Raw genomic sequence first — 14,260 nt, 5'->3', positions numbered from 1 at the left:
AGACGGAGCCAGAGGAACATTTTTATTGAAGGAAAAGTGATTATATTGGCAGGCCTAATGGGAATGAACCAATGAACATGGATAATTTGAAGATACAAGAAAAAGATTTTTGATGGAGCAAAAGGAGCAGAAGAAAGGTGAGATCAAGAACACAGGCAGGAGAGTGCTAGAGATAAAAGGGAGGCAAAGCCAAGTCTTTCACAGTGAGTTTCCAAACCAAAACCACTACCTTATACTTGATGGGAAGCACAGCTGGCTCCCTTCCTACCCCTCCTTCTTCATCCCTCCTGATATTACTCTGGTTGGTTTGTGGAAATGGCTAGAGAATATAGGTAGATTTAAAGTAGGGAACAAAGGGTAATGGCTAAGAGTTGTTGGCTCAGTCCAAGCCTGAAAGTCTAAAAATTTAAAGTCCCAACCTGGGAACCTGAGCTTTGAGCTAGGAGGCAGGGACCCAAAACTCTAGTTCTAGCTCTAACCAGCTGTGAAACCTTGAGTGAAAAATGGGACTCTTCTTTTGGAATGTCACTTAAGTAAGCAGTTACAACTAAAGTAGGATTTCTTAGGTCTCTTACAGCTTGAGTCATTATTTTATGTACTTTATCACAACTGTTATACCAATTGGAGAGGGGTAATCAGATAATCATTAAAGAAGGATGATGGCCTTTGTACAAAAATCTTTATAAGAAATCTAGTTGCAGATGGGATTCTTTTTACTACTAAGGCATATTTGACTTAAGGAACGTACAGCACAGGAATCAGCCACAGTAAATATAATTCCATGATTGAGGTTTTTTTTGTTTATTTCCTGAGCAACTGCCAATAGAAAAATTCATTGTTTGAGAATGTACTTTGGAATGCCCTGAATTGGCTGCTACTAAATACATAAAAAATATATAAAAAGTCTATTACTGTAAATGTGCTTATCATGTAAAATTCCATCTAAGGATGAAGACTCATCAAATATTGGGAACACCTTAAGAGAGGTGAACCTTGTGCCCTCAATTATAACTAATAGCAGTATTGAGGAGGGTGTTTCATTTTGGGTCAAATTACCTCAGACAACCTCTTCTTAGAGCCTCATAAAATCCTATTAAACCTAAATCCTCCCTGTGCTCTAATCTTCTGGCCCAGTTCTCTTTTCTCTCTCACCACAATATCACAGGGCAATGCTGGACTGCGAAAAATAAAGCAAGCATCTAATAGCCCCCTATTCTTCTGGACCTTGTGCTTAAGCCTCCCTCAATTTGCCATAGTTTAACTCCAGCTCATTCACTGTAAAACGTCCATCATTTCAGTAAATCAGAATCTTATTTCATTCCACCAACTTCTAGGTCACCAGTTAACACACAAAATGTGCACAAAGAAAATTCGGTCAATACACACATTCCAAATGGTTTCCAGCTTTGGAAAATACATGCTTCAAAACAGTAACAAGATACCTAAAACTTAATAATCCCACGAAACAATCCTACCTCGTTTTACACCTTAATTTCACAAGAACAGGCTACCAACTATGTCATACCCAAGTGCCATGCAACTGACTGATGAGCAGAATAAATGTGAAAAGAAAAATTAAAATATTCAAATTCCTATCTGAAATTTGTTTTTGGACTTAATTTTAAAGCTATTTAGGAAACTAAGTAGATCAATTATACCTCGATAAAGCTTAAAATTAAAAAAAATTTAAAGAAGAAACTAAATCCCTATAGGCAAGGATTTAGAATGTAAAAATTATGTATTTTGAAATTTATAGCAAGTATTGAGATATCAGCTCCTTGGCGATTGAACAGAAAAGTTTCTTATACACATAGGGTGATTTGTTGAAACCTAAAAATTGGACCATTCTTGGGGAAAGTCTCCCCACCAACCCAACTGATCACTGTACTCTTGATAGTATACACCATCCTTTCACATCACTATTTTGTTGAAAGCTATTAAGAAACAACTTGTTTAAGATTCTTGCCACAAAACCCTAAAAGTTGACTAAGGTAAACGCAGAAAAAAATGATCTGACAAGTTCTATAGGGTAGAACTTGAAAGGCGAGACTTGAAGTAGATGCTCTGAATCTTTCTAAGAAGAACCCTCTCACTTCATAAAGTTATATTCAAAAAATGTTCCTGGAAAAAAAACAGAAATGTAAGTTTTTGTCTTGGTCATGTTCTCTGGAAGAGTAGGTACCTTTGGCAAGTGATGTTGTTTAGTCTAATACCTGTATCTACAGTTTTGTCAATCAGAATTAGTTCCCCACCCAGTGCTTTAAATCCCTTCATGTGAACATGTGCAGCTTTGCAACCTGTAGTGTTATCCAGATGATGTGATGCTTACCTTTTGAAACGTAAAAACCAATCTTTCAAAAAGGTTCTTTATCTACATGATATAAAAGTACTAAGTGTAATTAGTGAAATAACAATAAAATTCCATATACATCCATGAATCTCATAAACTGTGGGCATATTTTTCTGAAGAGAGGTGGCTGTAGTTTTCAGCCAATTCTATAAAGGGTCCATGAGGTGCCCCGCTTCAATAAAGTTTAAAACCCACTTTAAAGATGCATTCATGGTAAAACCATTGAGAATCGAGTCCCAAAACAGGCTAATAGCCAGTTCACATTCTCATGGTATTACTGAAGATGTAGTTGTGGAATTTTGTGACTTCTGTGATAACAAAAAGTTCTGCTATGAACAGAGCAGAAGTAAAAAGAACTCATCTCATGAAAGTCACACAGATATCATGGAGTCTGACTCAGACTATCAAGTCAGAGTCAGACACATTCTCTTAGCCACCAATAACTCTCTATCTATAGCTACTAATTACACTAGTACCTTGCAGCATTGTTTAAATGGTAAATGATTGAAAAGACCCTACATATCCATCAATACTGGTTTGGTTATATAAACGACAGCACTTCTATGTAATGGAATACTATGTTACAATTATAAAAAAGATACAGCTCTTAATGTACTGATAGGATAAGGCTGCCAAAATATATACAGAACAGCAAGTATAGTATGCCACGATTTGTGTAAGAAGAAAAGCAATGTATTAGCCCATATGATTGTAGATGCATAGAAGATTTCTAAGAAGATACACAAGAACTCTTAAGGTGGCTGAGTCAGCACAGGGCAGTGGGGGCTGGGGGACAGCTGAAGAAAGAAGACTCACTTTTCAAACTGTACCTTCTTTGACTTTTTGAACTTTGTACCATATTTATGTACTACTTAGCAAAAACATTTTTTATTTAACAAAATAAAAGCAAAAGAACAACTTAAATAAAAGGAAAAGGACTTGCTATGTCTACCATAAGTATAGCAATGACAACATATTTGAAGTCTCTTCTGAGTCTCAATATGAAAGGAAAGTACCTGCACGATGAGTATAGCCTGATGGGTATGAGTAGGGATAAAAGAGTAGCTTAATACAATATGCTATTTGACTCCATCATAATGACTACCAAATGTCTGAAAGATATTTAACAGAAAACATATAAAGGAAAACCAACTGCATCTGTACCTAGAAGAGTTGTTAACTTCCAATGGAATAAATATATACAAAAATAACATATCAGGAAAATGTAAATAATTCACAGAAGAGTGGTAGTCTTATTTTCAGAAGCACTTTTTAAGTGGTTGTCTTAATATTATTGTTGCACAATACTCAGTGAATTAAATTTATGCAATTTACCTTCAGTCTAAGTGACTAGCTCTAGGAATTTGTAAAATTAATCTTTTGCCAAAGTTTTTGTCAGTCTAGATCAGTGGTTCCCCAAATGTGGTCTGAGGGACCCTAGGGTTCCCCAAAACCCTTTCAGGGAGCCTCAATGGTTCTCAACAATTTTTTCTAGGACCTCTTTTTAAGGAACAACGAAATCGGTCAAAGTAAATGTAGCTCACTACGAAGATTTCTCATATCCAGAAAAGCTTCCTGCACTCAGCTTACCATAACTTCACTTAAGCAGTTTGAGCACTATTCACTGCAACACTTTTTCTGTTTGTTTGTTTTGTTTTGTTTTGTTTTGTTTGAGACAGGATGTTGCTCTGTTATCAGGCTGGAGTACAGTGACGCATCTCGGTTCACTGCAACCCCTGCCTCCTGGGTTCAAGCGATTCTCATGCCTCAGCCTCCGAGTAGCTGGGAATACAGGCGTGCACCACCACGCCTGGCTAATTTTTGTATTTTTAGTAGAGACACGGTTTCACTATGTTGGCCAAGCTGGTCTCGAACTCCTAAGCTCTAGTGATCTGCCCGCCTCAGCCTCCCAAGGTGCTTGGATTACAGGTATGTGCCACTGCACCTGGCTACACCACAACTCTAAAATTGGCTTTTCTTATGAGATTGTTTTTCTACTCGTACAAAACCTATTCTCTCCAACTAAGATTTATTCTGAAAACTAAATATTATTATGCACCTGTAAATAAGTTTCTTAGACTTCCTCTTTAAAATATTGCACTCATTAATGGCAGATCTAACTGCTTTGAAGCTTTCATTTTGTCCCAAGCATCATTTTGTGAAATTCTGACAAGATTGTTTACCCCTGAATAAAGCAGTACTGTATCTCACTCAACAAAGAATACATTCTCAATGTCTCTCCCTTATATATAGAACAACATACACTGTAGCACACGCACATACACGTGTAAGTCTAGCTCAGCATACAGATGTAAATAATAATCAATAGTTGTTGCCTTTTCAGAGACCCTACAATAGAAAAAGCCTCGTGTCACCTTCAATTAGCAAAGGGTAAAGGAGGATCTAATTTCTGCTTGGAGGTCCAGAATTTAGGCTTACCATGCTGTACTTCCAAGAAATAAAAGTAAAAGCTGAAACAACTTATACTGAGCAACTTCTCTGCCACAGCAAAGATGGCTTATTGACTGGATGGCCGCCACCCCTCCAAGCAGAGAAGCTGTCTCTATGGGGAGGAATGCATTAATTTATCCAAAAGCCTCCAGAAGCAAGTGGGTAGATCACAACTCTCCCATATTCTGCTTCAATTCATCTACACTTTCCTCTAGAGTGACTGGCATAGACTTGAATGGTTTCAGGCTATCTATGCTTCTTTAATTAAAAGTCTTCTCCACTAAATTAGCATGTGTGTATCAATGTCTTTTGCACAGGGGGAAAAAAGAGAAAGCAAAAGCAAGAAAAGAAAAATCAAAGACTATTCTAAATTAAGTTTTGCTTCAGATAGATTTTGCATTTGGCGCTATTTCTCCCTAGAGTTGGTGCTTCAGGTAGAAAACAATGAGCAAGAATAGACAAGGTTCCTACTTCCCCCTTGAAAGCATCCTGCACTTTGGAGTTAATTGACTTCTAAAATCAAAGGAGTTGTGAAGAGAGTATGGAAGCAAAACAGGAACCTAGATAGTTCCTTTTATGTAAAAATTATTTTATATGTTATTAACACATATATTCACAATAATTCACTTCCATTCTATGCATTAGGTAATTACCAAAAATTGATTATCTGACCCAATACTATTAGAGTGAAATTGCAATATATGGGGACTAGATTCTGATGTTACTGAATAAGGCAAAACATGAAAATACCAAAAATTACCAGCTAACATCCCTTAGCGAGGCATTTGTTGGAAACCAACACATTTTTTTTTTCTCATTAAGTTGGACAAAACAGCTGAATATCCAACAAAGCAGTAGGCACTTGGGGTCAGGATGTACAAAAAATAATATATGTCTTCAAATGCAAGAACTACTTTCAGCACAGTGAGATACCCACACTATGAGAGCGGCTGGTGGAAACAGTAGGTATACATCTATAATTCCTGAAGAATAAACTCAAAATTATCTTAACCTTGTAAATGATTGTCTTCCCTCTCTCCATCTCTCCCTTTCAATCTCTGGTTTTAAGGGGGCAGATAATGCCAAGAACATATACAATGAATGAAATGACTATACAAAACTGGAGCTCTCTTCAGAATAACTACCCTGGAGGGGCTTCACAAACGTTACTAATTATACACTGAAATCTGCACGGAGTTCCAAGTAAATTATATTTCCTGCTTTCATAGAAAAGGAATGTAATACAGGTAAGCCATCCAAGAGACAACTCAAGTAAAATTAAAGACAGATTTTTCCATTAAGTAAACATGTCTGTGTTTCTAAAATGTTTTGAAAACCCACAAATATAGCACACAAACACTGCTAATTAGAATTCAATAATAAACATCATCCTCTGCAGAAAGAATTTTCAAAAGTGAGGGAAAGGATGATGATAGAATAGAAACCAAACAAATACAAGCATTTGGATTTTAGGTAGACCTGATCATACTAATATCAATAACTATATAATGAACTGGTAAGGAAATTAGCAGCAGTAACTTCCAGCTCTCCCATGTAAGTTGCTCCTTTCTAGAGAACTTTCAGCTTTAAAAATCTGACCATGTTTAGTTCTGAAGGCTCCCAAAAATACGCATATTATAATTAAAGTACACTTAAAATATGAGAGTATATACCTTAGCACTAGAGAATCGTTCACATTTATACATTGTTTACTGAGAGAATAAAATTATTCTCTCCAAAAAGCTGCCACAACCTTTTCTATTATTTGTTCTGAGAATGTAAACCTTAGAGTAAGAAAAAAATAAAAGGGATGCTATGGTGCTTGAATTAAATATTTTATATGATTATATCACAATGACATCTTCTTTAGTCTAACATAATCAGTATTCTATATTTGTTGCTTGCACAAAACCATAATTACTCGTTGATTTGATCAAAATTACTAGCTGACTTGAGCAATTCAGTCAGCCAGCCAGCCTTCAGGGTAATTAGTCAAATCAACAGTCTATCAAAGTGACTAATATATCTCTGAATCATGGGTTAAACTACCTACAACATCAAGGCAATTCTTAGATTTGTTCCAAAACCTCAGTTCATCTTGTTTAACTCCATAGGTTATTTTTCTCATAATTTAATTTGCTCTGTACACAGTTGAGAGTTTTTCCTCCCCTTCAAGGAAGAAAATAAAAGTGACAATAAAAACCTTTTAAGAACTTTCTTATTTCAAAAAAGTAAAATAAAAAAGTACAGAATTCAATGAAATCAGATACTCTTGTTTCAAAAAATAAGAGGAGGAGGAGAGTTGTTTTTGTTATTGTGTAAGTGGGGGCATAGTCAAGGAGAAAGAAACAAAAATGGATTCTTACCAATCAAACCACTTCACAGTGCCTCAAATTCCATTAAAGGCCACAATTCTGTTGATTTGATGCCAGATGCCTCTAAAATGTTCTTACCCAAGAAAAGTATGTTTTTTGAAAGAACAAGGAAAGCAATACATTTAAAGGCTAGAGAAAATTTTCTTCCATTTACTTGGGTCAGTGTAACATCCATCATGCAGAGACACAAATACCTTACAGAATAAAAGATCAGAGGAGCTACACCAGTAGAAGATCAAAGAGCCAACGCCTCTGGGGGAATCAAACAAGTAACTGCCTGAACAGAGCCCCCTGTGATTTCTCTCATAAATCTAGCTTCTGTGATTGGGGGGAGAACCACAAAGCAGAACATGCTATCCCAAAAAAGTGATTAAAAAATAATTAATTCCAGTTTGGCTCTCTCTCTCTGGAGAAAGAATCTTTTCAAAGTCATTAAGTAGAATAACTATATAATGGAAGTCTTAAAAAAGCAAAAATGTTTGAATTATCTACGCACACTAACTACAAGGCATATGAAATTATCATATATATTCAGTCTAATAGCAAACCAGAAGAAATGAAAACATATTTAGTAAATGGTTGCAAAAGTATAAAAAGAAACTGCATGCTTTTAACAGAAGCCCTCAGATTTAATTCCACCTGCGTGGGCTAAAAGGGAGCACTCTGTCCATCCCTGTCACATGTGCAGTTAAAAGAACAAGTTGTCATTAAAATTGAAGGGTGTAAAATTCACAGTAGAAATAGAACATGTCCAAAAATTTTCAGCATCCCAAAACCTTTGGCTACCAACATCAAAAACACTACGCTGAACAAAGTGCCTACTAAGTACCTGCCTTAAACCTGCCTATTAATATCTTTCTCCTCTAAACCTTTTAGTTTAACTACATCTCCCTATGGTGATGTAGTTTCTGCCTTCTGCTGTGATTATTTCAGAACCAGAGTCTGGTCTCCTTGAAGGTAGGGATCACATTTTTATGTTATTCATGTATTGATTTAGTAAGCATTTAATCCAAGAGCCCAAGATGTGCAGTGTGGGAATGTGAATAAAATCTAGTCCCAGGAATCAGGGAATAAGCAGCTTACTATGGAGAGGTGTTTGCATCAGCAGATAACAGTAACAGCCACCAGTGAGAAAAGCCACTGTTTATTGGGCACTTACTCTGTGCCAGGCACCACACTAAATTGTCTATTCAATTCTTACAACCACCCACTGAGGTAGGGCGTCATCCCCATTTACAGATGAAGAAACTGAAGCCTAGAGAAAAGTGACTGGTCACATGGGTAGTAAGAAGAAAAGTCAGAGGACTGGGAGGACTGGATGGGAGCCAAGAGTCAATGGGCAGCTGTGATCATAAGAGGGGTATAGGAATGGCTTTACCAGGAAGGAGCTCCTGCATAAATACCTTGCTTGCATAGGAATAGATCCGAGGGTGATACAAAGAAGCAATTCACCTAAGCAAATAAAAAGAGTGCTGATAAAAACATGATGTGATTTCCTGCAGTTCAGTCTCTAATGAAACCTCTACATTTGTTTTTTGTTTGTTTGTTTGTTTGCTTGGACATAAGGTCAACAGAACAGTGTCTTGGAATTTTCACCTATCACATATCCAACTTTCAGAGAGATTAAAAGATTGGAAATAGGCAAAACAATGACTTGAAGAAGCTGTAACAACTGGTTTACTAGTCATTGCTACCACCACAATGTATCACTCAAACAGTCTAGAAACTTCGCATTTCAGCCACTACAGATATTCCATTTCCCTGGTTAAGTCAAGTCTAGCTATACAAATCAATTCCAACTGGTTAGTAATTCTAATACACGATAGAAATATAAACAAAACTGATTATCCTACGAGTTAAAAGAAAAAAACACTAAATATTAATCACTTAAAGTATCTCAATTAATTACTTCATTCTAAAGGAAAGGATACATTAACTGTATTGAGAGATAAATCACCCAAAATGCAGACTCAAAACATTTTTGTTTCTTCCCTTTCATATGGCAGATACTGATCAATAATACAAGGAATACCCACAAATTTAGTTGTATATATTCCCTGTTTTTATACAATTTAAATTAGCAAATTAAGATTTAATTATATGTACTTTTCTTGTAATTGTTTATGAAATATAAAACCATGTGATATTATAAATAAAAATGCAGGTCATTAATCATTGATCTTCATATTAAATCTCCCACTGTGGATCAGATTCTGCAATTTGACTCCTGGCTTTAGAAAATTTCTGTAGATCATGTTCATCTTCTCCATGCAGCATACTCCCAGATTTTTCCTCAAATAATTATAATACAAAGCACATTCCTGTATGTGCAATTTAAAGATCTGTGGCTTAGCCAGGTTTGGAATTAAACACTAGAACAAATCACATCATGAATCAAATAAATTGTGTAAGAAAGGTGGTTCTATTTTTACAGGGTTATGTACCAAACCTCCTTAACATAAACACACACATACACACACACCCGGGAGAAATGGATCTGTTAACAGATTACATCTTTTTGTTTTTGCTTTTGTTTTTTCTTTTTTTTTTTTTAATTATACTTTAAGTTCTAGGGTACATGTGCACAATGTGCAGGTTTGTTACATATGTATACATGTGCCGTGTTGGTTTGCTGCACCCATTAATTCGTCATTTACATTAGGTATTTCTCCTAATGCTATCCCTCCCCCATCCTCCCACCCGACAACAGGCCCCGGGGTGTGATGTTCCCCACCCTGTGTCCAAGTGTTCTCATTGTTCAATTCCCACCTATGAGTGAGAAATGCGGTATTTGGTTTTCTATCCTTGTGATAGTTTGCTCAGAATGATGGTTTCCAGCTTCATCCATGTCCCTGCAAAGAACAAGAATTCATCATTTTTTATGGCTGCATAGTATTCCATGGTGTATATGTGCCACATTTTCTTAATCCAGTCTATCATTGATGGACATTTGGGTTGGTTCCAAGTCTTTGCTATTGTGAATAGTGCCACAATAAACATATATGTGCATGTGACTTTATAGTAGCATGATTTATAATACTTTGGGTATATTCCCAGTAAAGGGATTGCTGGGTCAAATGGTATTTCTAGTTCTAGATCCCTGAGGAATCACCACACTGTCTTCCACAATGGTTGAACTAGTTTACAGTCCCACCAACAGTGGAAAAGCATTCCTATTTTTCCACATCCTCTCCAGCACCTGTTATTTCCTGACTTTTTAATGATTGCCATTCTAACTGGTGTGAGATGGTATCTTACGTGGTTTTGATTTGCATTTCTCAGATGACCAGTGATGATGAGCACTTTTTCATTTGTTTTTTGGCTGCATAAATGTCTTCTTTTGAAAAGTGTCTGTTCATATCCTTCTCCCACCTTTTGATGGGGTTGTTTTTTTCTTGTAAATTTGTTTGAGTTCTTTGTAGATTCTGGATATTAGCCCTTTGTCAGATGGGTAGATTGCAAAAATTTTCTCCCATTCTGTAGGTTGCCTGTTCACTCTGATGGTAGTTTCTTTTGCTGTGCACTCTTTAGTTTAATTAGATCCCATTTGTCAATTTTGTCTTTTGTTGCCATTGCTTTTGGTGTTTTAGACATGAAGTCTTTGCCCATGCCTATGTCCTGAATGGTATTGCCTAGGTTTTCTTCTAGGGCTTTTATGGTTTTAGATCTAACATTTAAGTCTTTAATCCATCTTGAATTAATTTTTGTATAAGGTGTAAGGAAGGGATCCAGTTTCAGCTGTCTACATATGGCTAGCCAGTTTTCCCAGCACCATTTATTAAATAGGGAATCCTTTCCCCATTTCTTGCTTTTGTCAGGTTTGTCAAAGATCAGATGGTTGTAGATGTGTGGTGTTATTTCTGAGGGTTCTGTTCTATTCCATTGGTCTATATCTCTGTTTTGGTACCAGTACCATGCTGTTTTGGTTACTGTAGCCTTATAGTATAGTTTGAAGTCAGGTAGTGTGATGTCTCCAGCTTTGTTCTTTTGGCTTAGGATTGTCTTGGCAATGCAGGCTCTTTTTTGGTTCCATATGAACTTTAAAGTAGTTTTTTCCTATTCTGTGAAGAAAGTCATTGGTATCTTGATAGGGATGGCAGTGAATCTTAGTTATACTTGTACAATTACCTATCTACCTTAACACTATGTTCATCACACAGAGATTATCTGATGACCTTTTGTCCACTTCCCCTACCCTTTTACTAAATTTCAAGCTTTAATAGCACTGTAATGGATGCCCTCAGGTTCCCCTAAATCCCTCCAGGACCAAAAAGTTTATTCTTCCAGCTGCCAGGAGTGCTGTGGGCTGTCAGCCCTCTCCAGAATTTTCCCTCTGCCAAAGACAGCTGCTTTGCCCGTGATTAAGCCCTCCCCCTTAAGGGCAGTTCATATCCATGACTAAAGGAGGATGTTGCCCCCATCCCCAATTCAGGACAACTCTGAGGGAGTCAACCCAGTTTCAGAGCTTCCTGTAGGGTCAGCCTAGGCCTTAGAAAGGACTTGATGGTTGTCCAACATCATCCTCTGCACAGTCCTGCTTCTCTCCCTGACAGGTGCTGATTCAGAGAACATACCCTAACAAACTCCTGCATGCAAATCTCCACCTCAGAGTCTGCATCCCAGGATGTCAAGCAACTAGAACCACAGTATCCATCAACTAAGAAACTACATATCTAAGGTTATTAAAGACACTTAGAGAGAGGGAAAATATTAGTTTTTTAAATTCAGAAATCTTTTAAATGGTACAAGCCTTCAAACCAAGAAAGAATATTACCTTTGCTAGGCAAACTAACAAAAACACACCACAGCTGTTTCAGTAAGTTCAATCAATATTTTCTAATATTCCATCTTTAATAGTTCTAAATGACCCCAAACCAATCTTAAGAATTAACACAAAAACTGGCTTTTACTCTACATACTGAATTACCATTTTAAAACTATTTACCCTTCATGCGAGGCTACTAGGTAATTTGGCTAATTTAAAAATACACACATAGGGGTTCGGGGGGAGGTGCGGATGGCTAATGGGTACAAAAAATAGAAAGAATGAATAAGACCTACTCTTTGATCGCATAGTAGGGGTGATTACAGTCAATAATAACTTAATTGTGCATTTTAAAATCAGAGTACAATTGGATAGTTTGTAACATGAAGGATGAATGTTTGAGGGATGGATACCCCATTATCTATTATGTGATTATTTTACATTGCATGCCTGTAACAAAACAGCTCATGTACCCCGTAAATACATACACCTACTATGTACCCACAAAAATTAAAAATAAAAAACTTAAAAATATAAACAGGCAAACAAATAAATACCAACAACCTGGAGAACAAGAAAAATCATCCTGTCACTCACTTGTTCTTTCAAAAATAAACCCTTTTTAAAGATTTTTCAAGTCTTCTGATTACAAAAGGTAGAAAGTAAGGGAGAAAAGAGAAGGAAGGAGAAATTTTCCCCTTTACTTTAACACATACTCATCTCTCTTTCAAAGACTACAGGCTAGTCTTTTTAAAGCTACATTTAAAAAGAACATGTGTCCCATACTACATGTATTTTTAAGGAAACTTACCAGAAAGGGGTCCCGATCCAGATCCCAAGAGAGGGCTCTTGGATCTCATGCAAGAATTCAAGGTGAGTCCATAGAGTAAAGTGTAAGCAAGTTTATTAAGAAAGTAAAGGAATAAAGAATGGCTACTCCATAGGCAGAGCAGCCCTGAGGGTGGCTGATTGACCATTTTTATGCTTATTTTTTGATTACATACTAAACAAAAGGTGGATTATTCATGAGTTTCCTGGGAAAGGCATGGGTAATTCCCAGAGCTGAGGGTTCCTCCCCTTTTCTCACCATATAGGGTAACTATTTTTTTTTTTTTTTTTTTTTTAGACAGAGTCTCACTCTCTCGCCCAGGCTGGAGCGCAGTGGTGTGATCTTGGCTCACTGCAACCTCCACCTCCCAGGTTCAAGCAATTCTCCAGCCTCAGCCTCCCAATGTTAAATATAGTGAACCCCAAGTTTCTCTTCAAAGAATCAGTATGTCAGTATGTTCAGCTCTCTTATTCTTTGATTCTCCATTTTAAACTTCCTGGTTCTCTTTGCCCACTTGATTCTAGTTTCACTAAACAACTTTCCCACCAGTCCGAATCAGTAGTTTACGTCTGTTCCCCTGATTACCTGCTCTGTCCTGACTCATCCCAGTCACCTGCTGTGACCTAAGTCACCTTTAGTTACCTGTTCCTAACTGTCCTTCCTGCCAAACTACTCACCCCGCCACTCTGGCTCATACACCTGCCCTCTTTAAAATAGCCAATCGTAATTAGTTTAGACTGTGCAGTCCAACCCCAGCCAATAGGGGAATGACACAACAGTAGAGGGTACCTGCATCAGGAATAAGAACTCCTGCCCCTCCCCTGTCCAGGTGTGCTCTCACCATTGTTCCATCTGCGAGGGGCACCCTTTCTGCAGAAAGTAAAAGTTGCCTTGCTGAGAAAATTAAATTTATGTTCGAGTGCTATTTCTTTACAGCACCGGGGAACAAGTATTTTGCATTTCCAACACCAAGTAGCTGGGATTACAGGCGTGTGCCACCACGCCTGGCTAATTTTTGCGTTTTTAGTAGAGATGGGATGGTGCCATGTTGGCCAGGCTGGTCTCAAACTCCTGACCTCAGGTGATCTATCCACCTCAGCCTCCCAAAGTGCTAGGATTACAGGCGTGAGCCACTGTGCCTGGCCATATAGGGTAAGTTTCTGACATTGCCATTTCATTTGCAAACTGTCATGGTGCTGATGGGAGTGTAGCAGTGAGGACCACCAGAGGTCACTTTCATTGCCATCTTGGTTTTGGTCTTGGTTTTGGTGGGTTTTAGCTGGCTTTTTCACTGCAACCTGTTTTATCAGCAAGGTCTTTATGACCTATAACTTGTGCTGACCTCCTATCTTATCCTGTGACTTAGAATGTCTAACTTACTAGAAATGCAGCCCAGCAGGTCTCAGCCTTATTTTACCCAGCCCCTATTCAAAATGGAGTCACTCTGGTTCAAAGGCCTCTGATAAAACTGTTTCCATGGAATTAGCCCG

At 37.4% G+C, this 14,260-nt stretch overlaps 1 protein-coding gene across 9 annotated transcripts in view; it reads right to left on the bottom strand.

The window, feature by feature from the left end:
• FHIP1A (FHF complex subunit HOOK interacting protein 1A) overlaps positions 1–14,260 on the bottom strand; it is a 261,328-nt gene that overhangs the window by 107,949 nt on the left and 139,119 nt on the right. The window contains exon 1 of one of the 9 annotated variants that reach the window (XM_011532224.3): positions 9,946–10,029. The exons of the other annotated variants lie outside the window; for them this stretch is intronic. The gene's annotated coding sequence lies outside the window, so the exon portion shown is untranslated. Of the gene's footprint in view, positions 1–9,945; positions 10,030–14,260 lie in introns of those variants that run through there. 9 annotated transcript variants of the gene reach the window in all.

The sequence above is a fragment of the Homo sapiens genome, chromosome 4 (assembly GCF_000001405.40).
Source record: "Homo sapiens chromosome 4, GRCh38.p14 Primary Assembly".
NCBI lineage: Eukaryota > Metazoa > Chordata > Mammalia > Primates > Hominidae > Homo > Homo sapiens.
Note: the sequence above shows the minus strand (reverse complement) of the source record. Positions and strands in the feature narration are given on the sequence as shown.